General features: G+C 34.2%; 1 protein-coding gene across 4 annotated transcripts in view; it reads left to right on the forward strand.

Moving 5' to 3' along the window:
- The window catches only part of VPS50 (VPS50 subunit of EARP/GARPII complex), a 128,758-nt gene extending 117,084 nt beyond the window's left edge, over positions 1–11,674 (forward strand). For all 4 annotated transcript variants that reach the window (NM_001257998.2, NM_017667.4, XM_011516395.3 and 1 more), the window contains 4 exons: positions 426–584; positions 4,191–4,312; positions 6,442–6,631; positions 8,868–11,674. In NM_001257998.2, the coding sequence (NP_001244927.1) occupies positions 426–584; positions 4,191–4,312; positions 6,442–6,631; positions 8,868–8,987 (591 nt within the window). In that variant the 3' untranslated portion in view covers positions 8,988–11,674. The remainder of the gene's footprint in view (positions 1–425; positions 585–4,190; positions 4,313–6,441; positions 6,632–8,867) is intronic.
- Positions 11,675–12,174: the final 500 nt, after the last annotated feature.

Consider the following 12,174-nt stretch of genomic DNA (forward strand, 5'->3'; position numbering starts at 1 on the left):
TAGTTTTCTGGGGGCATTGTGGAAGAAAGGACTGTAGACAGTCCTAGAGACAGGGAAACTAATTTGAAGGCTGCTGCAGTATTGCAGGGGAGAGATGGTGGAATCCTGACATCATGTAGTGGGAGTGGAAATGGAGAGAAGTGGAAGAATTTGAGAAGTAATTGCTAGGCTACATGAAGAGCTCTAGTTCTTTGACAGTTGCAGTGTCAATGGCTTCAAGTTTATTGAATGTCTCAAAATTATGTTTTGAGTAAGGCCTTTGCCTTCACTCAAATATTCAAATTATTTTCATCATAATTTAAATCTCCAAATATATAGTGTTTTATTTTCAGATATGATATATACTGGAAACAGGGGCAAGTATTCTTTATCAATATGATACTTTTAGAAAATAATTGTTTTCATTTTTGTGAAATTTATTTCAGACAGTCTCAACCGCCAGTGAACTACGGAAACCAATTTACTGGATTGTAGCTGGTAAAGCCCTTGATTATGAACAGATGCTGCTTCTCATGGCTAATGTGAAATGGGATGTAAAAGAAATTATGTCACAGCACAACATATATGTAGATGCACTATTAAAGGCAAGTGTTCTGGGAAGCACCTGTGCTAAAGATCAATCTACTAAGAGAAGTGTTCCTTTATTGCAGTGGCTCTAAAATAGTAAGATTATAGTTATTACCACATTTCTAGCATTGTGGTATTAAAGCCCCTGAATTGAAATAGGCTTACTTTCTGAATTTGTCTTCTATTAGCTCTAAGAATACGTCGTAGATTTTTTAGCTTTGTTCACTAATTTCCCATTTTGAGTTGTTGTATGTCGTGGCTGACTTTCATATTATGTAATCTCAGTAGCCATCACTATAATGACAAGAAGATATTTCTGTTTAATTAGAAATTATTTCTGTAGTTTAGCATAATATTCATTAGCAAGAGACCATGCCTCTGATTATTCGGGGTAAAAATCACACTACTTTTGCAGTGTGTCATACAAACACCTCTTTGGAGCCAATGACCTGTGTTTATATGTTTCCTGGAAAGAATTGTGGTTTTTTTTCATTGATGCATGAATAAGATATCTGTAGATCACCTGATATGTGTCACACGCTGATAGAAGTGCTGGCAGTATAGCTGTGAATTCAGGAACTTATGTGCCCTCAAGGAATTTACATGCCAGGGCAGAGATAGCAGTAAACAGGTAAATTGAGATATAATATCAGATGATGAATAATGCTGTGAAAAAAAAAGCAAAATCATCTGAAGAGAGATAGAGAATGACAGGATGTGAGTGGAAGAGGAAGACCATGTATTGTCATGCTCAGAGAAGGACCCTGATAAGGTGAGACTGGAGATGAGGCCTGAGGGAAGTAAGGAAATAAAGTGTGGAAAGAGCATCTGAGAAAATGAAAGTAACTTTCAGGAAAAATGTGTTTTCATTTTTGTAAATGAAAAGAAAATTGTCCCTTCTTAACCTCCTTACTTTAATCTCATTTACACAATCATTCTTACCTGCTTAGACCAAGTCAACAAATAAGAGCCTAGGACAGCTGAGAACCAATGAACAGAGCCATAGATTTAAAATAGAGATGGTAATGGAGTTCCTTCAGTCACCCAACTCCCAGCAATTTATGGTCCCCTTTGGAGGCCTAGGTTGAAGACTGTGAGGCTGTCTCCAGACTCCGGGACTAATTGTGCCAACATCAGTAACCAATTGCTAGGAGTTTCCATAGAGATCTTAGCGGGGAATGACACCAAGGGTGCTCTATATTTGCCACTCTGGAATTCAGAGACCATTGACCTTGAAAGAGAATCAAAGAAATAACTTGGTTTCTAGAGCACCCAGGAGATTTCAATTGCAAATTTTCATTTGGAATGTAAAAGATGAATGTAATTTATAAATAATGATACCCCTTCTTTTTTTTTTAACAATTCTGTTTTTGAAAAAATGGTTCTATTTTTTATGACATGCTGTCTTAGTCCTTTAGGATACTACAACAAAGTTCCACAGACTAGGTGGCTTATAAGCAGAGCAGTTATTTCTCACCGTTCTGGAGGCTGAGAAGTTCAAGATCAAGATCAAGGCTCAGGCAGATTTGGTGTCTAGTGAAGGTTTGATTTCTCATAGATGTCACCTTGCTGTACCCTAACATGGTAAAAAAGGCAAGGCAGCTCTCTGGGGCTCTTTTATAAGGGTGTTAATTCCCTTGGTGAGAGCTTGGCCCTCATGACCTAATCACTTTTAAAAAGCCCCACCTCCCAATACCATCACCCTGGGATTAGGATTTCAACATATGAATTTAGGGAGGATACAACATTCAGACCATAGAACATACTAACCATGATCCTTATAGGGTGCAAGAAAAAAAGATTTCTGTGCTCAACAGATACACATGCTGTGAGGAGGCTGCTTGTTTCAGTTATTTGTTATTCCAGTTATAAGAAAGAACTCGTGTTACTCAGAGTATTAACCTGAGCCCAATTTTTAGCAGCTTAAGGCCTTCTTTAAGCATAAAGGTTAATTATCTGTGATAACTTTTGTTCTTTCTGTTACTTTTCTAAGTCTAAGCATCTAAATCTAAACAATCTGCTTATATTGCCCCAAAAGAATCATAAGAAAAATGAAATGTTTGTATGATTCATTTTATAACAAGCATTTTTGAGCATTTAATTTAGCAATAAGTAGAATGTTATTTTGTACACAAAGCATTTTATACATATAGCTTTATCTTTTAAATAAAATATTGATGAAAAATATTGAATTATGACTCTTGAAATCCAAAGCAGTTTAAGGAATGCATAAATAAATACAGTAACAAATACTACTACTCTCCTAGATCCATGAAATGAAACAACAGACAAAGAGCAATTATTTGTATAGTTTTGATTTTCAAAGGTAAATTTTGTGAATTGACAATCCACTTCTTTTTAATAATTAAAAGCAACGAATTGTTAAAAATAAATTAGCAAGAAAAATTGTGATTTAGGAAGTAGCAAAAGAGCAGAGGATAACACAGTTGTCATTAGCCTGAGTGGTGATCAGATTAGATTTTTTCTCCTGTGTATTATTAGAAAAGTTGAACACGTCAGTCTTGTTAAACATTGTGTAGCTTCTCTATTCAGGTAACTAAAGAAAAATGTCATTTTAAGTCTTCTTATATTTGAAATATATTGCCAGGGAACAGTCAACAGCATTTACTTCTGTAAATGAGTATATTTAAATAGCAGTAGTCCAAAGAGACCAAAAACACATCCATTGAAGGCTAAACCTTCTGCTCTTTCCGTCTAATTATTGGAGTTGTCTAAATCAGGTATATGTATTTATATTTTTAGTATGATCATGTCATAAAAGACAATAAAAATATTCAGTTTTTCTGTAGGTAATAGAAACTATGTTTTATTGTTTCCGTTGTACTAAAAATTTGCAGCTAGAGTATGATTTTTTAATCATTTGGTATACAGGTTGAGCATCCCAAATTCGAAAATCCAGTATTTCAAATAATCCAGAATCTAAAACTTCTTGAGTGCCAGCATGACACTCAGAGGAACTGGTCATTGGAGCATTTCAGAATTCTGGTTTGAGATTTTCAGATTTGGGATTCTCAACCAGTAGGTATAATGCAAATATTCCAAAACTGGAAAAAATCCAGAGTCCAAAAATGCTTCTGGCCCCAAGCATTTTAGATAAGGCATCCTCAACCCATATCATTATTTATTTTTAAAAAGTGTTTAGGAAAAGTGATAATTTATTAGATTGCACTCTGAAGAGTATAGATACAAATCACAAATAGTTCTGAACTGAACGCATGTCAAACCATGTTTTTAAACCTGGGTTTCTTGAAGATATTTTTAAAGCCAAATTAGGTCATTCAGCTCTATTCATCTGTACTGACAACCATAGAAAATTTTGAGATATTGGACATTGTTAACATTGTTTAATCAGTTAATGACACTTACTCCTTTTGCGATAAAATGTAGTGTACTCTGTACTATAACATAATCTATTTAAACTAGTGCATATATGTTTTTAAGGCCTTCATACTAAGTCCAAATTATCTTTGGCATTATCTTTTTTGATTTTACTTGGTTTGATTCTGAGTCTTTCTAAATCTTTTTTATTTAAACAATTTTTATGGGAAAGCATTGTGGCATTTTAATGATATTCACAAACAGCTACCTATTTGTCTTCTTAGGAATTTGAGCAGTTTAACAGGAGGCTAAATGAAGTTTCTAAGAGAGTTCGCATACCCTTGCCTGTGTCTAATATACTTTGGGAACATTGTATACGATTGGCTAATCGAACTATTGTAGAAGGGTAAGTTTTTCATGAAAGCATTATTTGTTTCTTTAATGACAAATTGTAATATATGAATAACATACGGTATTAATGGTTGGAGAGAATAAGTAGAAATAATAACAACTAGCAGACAAGTTTGGGATATAATTAGAGAAGAAACCTTAGACCCCACTGTGTCTGTCTCTGTCTCTGCTTTCTTTTCTTGCTAGTGGCATAGAACCAGCTAGTAGATGAGTGAGGAATGCAGAATCTAATGGTTATCTGAAAGTTAAACTAACATTATTACTTAATAATAAAATTATGATGGTGATGATTGTTATACCTAACCTTTTTTGAGCATTAACTATGTGTTATTTACCAAACCAAACATTTCACAGGATTATGTCACCAAACCTGAAATAAACTCTCTTTGGTAGGTACTATGATTCTGTTTTATCAATGAGAAAACCTAGTCTCAGAAAACCGAGACTTAAAGAGGTTAGGTAACTTATCTAAGTTCACACAGTTTTTAAAGGCATATGTACCCCTGATTTCTTTTTTTCTTTTCTTTTCTTTCTTTTTTTTTTTTTTGAGACAGTCTTGTTTTGTTGCCCAGGCTGGAGTGCAGTGGTGCAATCTGGGCTCACTGCAGCCTCTCCCTCCTGGGCTCAAGCAATTCTTGTGCCTCAGCCTCCTGAGCAGCTGAAACTACAGGTGTGTGCCACCATGCCCACTAATTTTTTGTATTTTTAGTAGAGATGGGGTTTCACCATGTTGGCCAAGCTGTTCTTGATCTCCTGGCCTCAAGTTGATCCGCCCACCTAAGCCTCCCAAAGTACTGGGATTACAGGCGTGAGCCACCATGCCTGGTTATACTCCTGATTTCTGGTGGTAAAATCAGCCCTCGTAACCCTTATATCATCATTAATAATAATCACCATCATATCACTGTAAACTCTATAAATCTTTCATGTGTTGAAGTTATGGATCTATTAATAGTAATTTTCCCACTTACTCAGAGACCATGCTTACTCTGCCCATAACATCTAGGATACAAATAAGGATCAGTAATACATCTGAAATATCCCTGAGAAGCGAACAGCTATTTCAAAGACCCTGTACAGTGCTCTAGAATTGCACATCAGTTGAATATTCACACTATCATTTGTCTGATTTTTCTTTTGTTCTCATTTGTTATACAAAATAATGTATTAGAAAGTGGGAAGATGACAGTGACAAGCTGACAACAGTCGTGGCACTCTGTATTGAAACCAGCAGTGCTATAAATTATAAAAAGGCTGTGTCAGCAATCACGAATGAAGAGTATTTTAAATAAATTTGTTTAAGTCGAAATGTGAATAATATATGTAATACTTCTGTATAAAATACTCTTTTTTAAAAAAAAAAAAAAAAGCTTGGTCATTTTAAATAAAATAAGCTTTTATTTTCTTGCAACTTTCCTTAAGGTAAGTACCTCATTCCCACAGTTGAATTTTCCATGTTCTGTATGATTGATTGAAGAAATGAAACATTGACTTAATGAGCAATAAAGTGTTGTATTGTTAGGGTTTGTATATTTGTCTTTATTACTTAGTCCACCTTAAAACACACTGTTTCAGTAGTGTAGAATATCAGAATAGGTCTATAAGCTTTTTATCATGAAAAATATATATATACTTTCTATGCTTACATGCTTACACATTTCTTTATGTTTTCAGAGTGTTCATGGGAGAATTATTTCATTTGTTTCTTTTGCATTGCATTGAATATTGAACAGTTTTATAAAACTAAGATTACTTTGAAGTATTCAAAGCTTAGTTTTTATAAAGTAACTCTTGGCAGCCAGATTAACTGGAATACCAGTTTAACTTTCTTACAGACAATTATGTTGATTGAATACAGAGATCCGTGGTCTGTAGAACAACAAAGAGACTTGAACTCATTGGATCTCTTTGCAAATGAGAAAACTGAGGCCCGCATAGGTAAAATGACAGAGCACAAACACAACCCAGTCTTTCTGACTCAAGGCTTATGTTCTCTATTTCCTATAACCCTCTCATTTCTGGGGAATCTGTCCAAATATAGGTTAGAGAAAACTTCAAATACCTGACAGTTTTTTGTTTCTAATTATCCTATAATGTATTTTTTTTTATTGTTTTGCATCTTAGATATGCCAATGTCAAGAAATGCAGTAATGAGGGTCGTGCCCTGATGCAATTGGATTTTCAACAGTTTTTAATGAAACTTGAAAAACTAACAGATATTAGACCCATTCCTGATAAAGAATTTGTAGAAACTTATATTAAAGCTTATTACCTAACTGAGAATGACATGGAACGGTGGATCAAAGAGCACAGGGTGAGAGCTGGAAAATAGTTAATTAAGTTTTTATTCCTTTTTCTTTGTGCTGTTCTTGTTGGGTGTGTTATTTAATTCAAAATCATGAGAGTGAAATATAAAGAAACATTTGCTTTTTTAATACAAACTACTTAGGTCAATTCTTTGCCTTATTCAGATTAAGGGCACCGTATCTAAGCAGTGCCCTTTGACTCATCAAATCTTTTTCAGCCCTTTGTGAACTGTTACTGTAATGATCTAGAAATACAGCCAAAGCCAAGACATTAGCTATATTTTTCCTGCAACTGTGTTATAGGAAAAGGCTGAAGTTGATAAATACTGAGACAGATTGAATACAGAAACAATGAAATGATTCATAAGCCATAATCGATTATGTAACTTAAACCTTCTCATACAAACCTTCTCGTACTCCTCAACGATGAAATGGTAACATCCTACACACTGACACGTATTAGTGATGAGTGAAGACATTAATATTTAAATGGCTAAACTTAACTTACATCTTACATTAGATTTTACCTTTAATATAGATTTGATTATTTTTCTTTTGTATGACTATATAGATAACGAAAAATACTATTGTTACGTAGGATGCCGAATTTTTGACACAGTTCAACTCAGTGAGCTTGGTATGGGAAGCTTTTCTGTATATGGCATGTGTTAAAATTATCACCAAATCCTCATTGCTTTGATAACTCTAGGATTTACATTTTCTTAACCTATGAATGTCATGGGTAAAAGCTAAGTCAAGTTTTATTTCATTTGGGTAAGAAAATAATTATTTGTATATACCTGCTCAGACTCATCCTTTCTGGCCTTAACACTGTAAAGAGATAAAATGCATTAGCCTAGAACATTCACATTGGCGTGAATCTTGTGTGAATGTCCCCACTCTTACTCAGTTTCGGATCTTTAGAAGCAAAGTAGGAATGTATGTGTTATTTTTAATGAGTTCGACCAGTAAAGCCAGATTGAGAAAAACTTCACCACGTTTAGCCCCACTGACATTTGATAACCAAAATGTTAAACCTAGATGCAGATAGACTGCTTAATGTTGCTAGAATCCATTTAGTAAAGTAAGCTGTAAACACTTCTGGGTTGGTACTGAGGAAAGGGTTTTGGGAAAGAATACAAAGTAGCCAAGGAGGAAAGGCACAGCTCTATTCGATGCAAGAATGATGCCCGTTTTTTGAATTTCCTCTTTTAATATAGTAGACTGATTTTTTTTTAACTTAGTACTTTGAAAGAGCTTTAACTGATTGATATTTGTAATTCAGTGACATTTCCCCAGCAGCAGCAGGGACTCTTTTCTGTCTTTGAAGGAAACTTCCCACAATGATGAGTCCAGCGATCACTGACGATGGATCCTCACTGAATGCTGAGTGGTTAAATGAGATTACTTACCAGGCGGGGACAGGTGCTCTCAGAGATCAGATACACAAGCTGAGCAGTTTGCCAAGTTTTTAAAATCAATTCTTTCTCCTATTTTGAAATTGTACTATATTTAGTGGTTACCTTCAATAAAGACACATTTTCTTTTCTTATTAGATAATAGTACACAGCTGTCTTTCCCTATCTGAACTCTTGCTATTCAACCTCCAGTACCAAGTCAATCTGCAGAAATTTCTGATGAATCCCTGTTTATTCTCATCCTAGCAATTCAGTATCTAAAATTCAGGAACCAGATGGATTTGGATTGCGAAAGATACTCGTAGTCTTAATTTTATTTGCAGCTCCCTGACTTTGTGATCCTTGTTACCTTATTCATTTGTTGTATCTTAGAAGAGTTGTTCTTCTGTTGTTGGAGATTTTTTTTTTAACTAAAGTGTTTACAAAATGTAGAGGGCCAGAAAAATACTTCATCAGTAGCATTTAAAAAATTTGAAATGTCAGTGTATTTTGATGACTCAATAACAAAGACTATTACAGAAACAAGTGTAAAGTGTGTGATCATCAAAGCAGTAAGAAGCATACGCATGTCAGATTGCTTTGCCATATTAAAACAGATTCTAGTGCTTACTGTTTCAAATGTGTACTATAGTATTCTTATTCTCTCCTATTACAGCTCAGTAAACAATTTGCCTTCCATGTCCCAACTGTAATTTCCACTGTTTTTCACTGGTTTATAATGCTCAGTAACTATCCACTGCACCTGAATATCCGCCTGTTCTTTTGTTGCACTGATCAGATACATTCCTTTTAGGGTACTAAATTTGGATCTTTCTTCTTTGAGCAGGAATATTCAACGAAGCAGCTGACCAATCTGGTGAATGTTTGCCTGGGATCCCATATCAATAAGAAAGCAAGACAAAAACTTCTAGCAGCTATAGATGATATAGACAGACCTAAAAGATAATGAACACAGCTCTCTTTCCTCAATGGCATTGATCCTCACTCAACATATATGACCTGAAAGCCAGTTTTTTTATGCACTTCTGACAACTATCTGCTAAGAAAACTTTGTGCATGTTTTTTTGACTGGAAAGTGGAAAATATTGAAATGTGTGTGGTGTTCTCATGACTTTTATATGCTGTGGTCTCTTCAACTTTTGGTCTCATTTGTTGTAATCTGAAATGATGTTGCCGCCTTGTCATAACAATGGTTATGTGACTACAGTTATACATTTTACAGAAGAATGTACCATAAGTATATAATTAGAAGAACAGTGGCTTAATATATGTATGGGAAGTTTATGGAAAATGAAGTTGGCACTTTTCTACCCTCTGAGCTTGGTTCTTAATAAGCATAATGTGAGGGTGAATATGTAGTATCTCCTAATTATGAGCACTGCATGAGAATTAAAAAACACATGTAAGTAAAATAGTTGAAAAATCAGTATGTTCTCTGTTTTTAAAATGTCAAAGTTTATGTCAGGGTTAATTTAGTTATAACAAAGTGATCATAATGGTGAAATTTAATAAATATACTCTAGTATGATCAGCCTATGTGAGACTACATTTTGATTTTTTGTGTGGCATGCAGATGTCATGAACTATAGTGCAGCTTTTAGTGTGTTCTAATTTTAATTGTTTTATATCCTGAAACCAATGGTGAAAAGTAATTTCATTGAGGGTACCTTTTCAATGCCTGAGTAGCATACAGAATCATGATTATGAGACTTTCTTTTATCTTTCTTTATAAAAATATGTGGTTTTTTTGTTGAAAGTTTTGGTCTCTTTAAATTCAGATTTTGTCTTAGGACAGTAAAACCCAGGTTGACTGACTCAGGAAACAGTTGTCTGCTAGTCACTCATAAATGTACGGTCATATGTTCACTCTTCTTAAATATCCACCTTTTATAACACAAATGTAAAATAGTATCAGTCTAGCCAATGATGAACTCTGGAATCCACTTAGTCTTCAGTAAGTATGTGCTGTTCCTCTAAACTTTGCCCTGAAGCCAGGGATCTTCTCCTAATGTATGTGACATAAAAATCCATTTTCCATGTACTCTTGCCAACTGTCTGATAAGGAATTTTGTGTGTGTTCTTTCTGACTGGAGAGTGGAGGACATCTAAGCTTGTGTGGCATTGGTCCAATGATTGCCATGCATGACCTGTAACATCAACAGCTCACAGAATCCTAAGGAATCATGTGAGAAACAGGCCTTGGGTCTTATGAGTCTTCTGGGACCTAAGGTGATAAAATGGATGGCACAGAATGGCATGTGATCAAGCATGGAGGTGATAAGGAAACAATTGCTACTCTGTGTCCATCAGTCCCTGCGATGTCTGTAAATGCACAGTGTAATGTGAAGCACTTTCAGAATATGTTTGTGTGTGTCTGTATGCTGAGTGTTTTCTTTTCATCCTCTCATGTCGGAGTTCATTTACTGTCAATTTAAAACTTTCCTCTTGTAAAAAGGTATGAGTTTGGTGCCATTATGATTTGGTTGTGGCTAGATTATATACTTGTGAAGTAGATTCTGCCTGTAGCCATTATTTATATGCAGCCACTTGAAGAAAACAAACATGAGATAAGCTTGGTCCTTGAGTTTAAATGGCATATTTAGCTGGGCACATAAAGAGCTAATCAATCTTTTAAAATTTGCAGTTGATGAAGAGCTGCTTATTTTTCTCTTCTACATGGATTTTATAGTTGGTTTCCTTTAATTTCTACTTTAGTTGGCCCTAGATAATATGAACAGGAATCACCTGCCTGGTAGAGCCCAGTGTTTTCCAAGGTAATAGGAATTGATACAAAAGAATTACTTATCTTGTTAGAGACTCGACCATGCAATCTGACAGACCTTTTAACCTACCCTTACTTTGCTTTCTCCATCTTCAAAATGAAATGGTGGATCTTTTTAATGCTTTTTGAAAAAGGTTTTTTTTTTTTTTTTTTTTCATTAAAAGGTAGCTTAATAAGTGCTAGCTAGCATCAAAACAGTAACAGGAGGTTTGAGTCATGAAGTTACCTAATCACAAGAGAGTTACCAGACATTTCTCAAATACTTTATACAGTAATATTGAGTTATAACCATGTAACATTTTATGAAACTAATTTTCAGATAAATACAATTGAAAAGCTGAGAATGTAAATGGAATTATACGTGTTCCAAAAACTATCATTACCAAAAATTTATTATTTTTGAGTCTAAACTTTCCTTAACTTTGACATTTTCCATGAAAGTTTCCTGTAGAATTTACCATGGGAGCATGGTAAATTAGCATTCCCTGAGAAAGAATGATCATTTCTACAAATACATTGTCTTGCATTTAAAAATGCTAGGGGGGCACATAGCAATTCAAATGAACTAGTTTGCTTTGGTTTATAAAACCAACAGAGATTTTGTAAGTTCACTTTAACTAATAAACTCATTTACACAACTTATTAAATGAATTTCTCTTGAAACCAGGGCCATATGGTATTTTATCATATCTTTAAATAAAATTTCGAAATTTCTATTTAGCTGAGTGCTAAAGTGAAACTTTGTTAGATTAAATAGCTTTTTCTTAACTCACCAAAAAGTAGTAAAAGGCTTGTAATTCAATTCACCTTGTAAGCATAGTTGTCTTTTGTAATAAAAAACTAGATCTGAAGATGAATTGATGAATACAAGTTGTGCTCAAAGCACATAGAAGTACAGGGTGGGGGGGATTTCCATATATATACATATATATATATTATATATATATTTCTTTTTGGAATAATTTTGATTCGGATTAGTGGTTAACAAAATGATATTTAGCTTCTGACAATGATTAATGATGAGAATTATTAATAGTCTGGTATAATCTTTGTAAATGTTAAGACTGGTGCAGCTTTCTACAGATTTTTTCTTATTGTGGAAAATATTTGCTCAATTCCTATCATCCACAGCTTTGTAAAGGCTATGAAAAAGTTTAAGCAGCACAGCTCTCACAAGGACAAAACTGTTAGATTTATACAAGAGAACTGTTAGCTGTTTCAAAATGAATGGAGAAAAATAATTCATTTGCTTTGATGTGCTTTTCTTGATTGACATATCCTTTTTGAATATTGCTAAGTATACTTAGATCATTTTTTCAATATGAAAACAAAACCACAGCTAAATATTCTC

This window comes from Homo sapiens, chromosome 7, assembly GCF_000001405.40.
Source record: "Homo sapiens chromosome 7, GRCh38.p14 Primary Assembly".
Classification (NCBI taxonomy): Eukaryota; Metazoa; Chordata; class Mammalia; order Primates; family Hominidae; genus Homo; species Homo sapiens.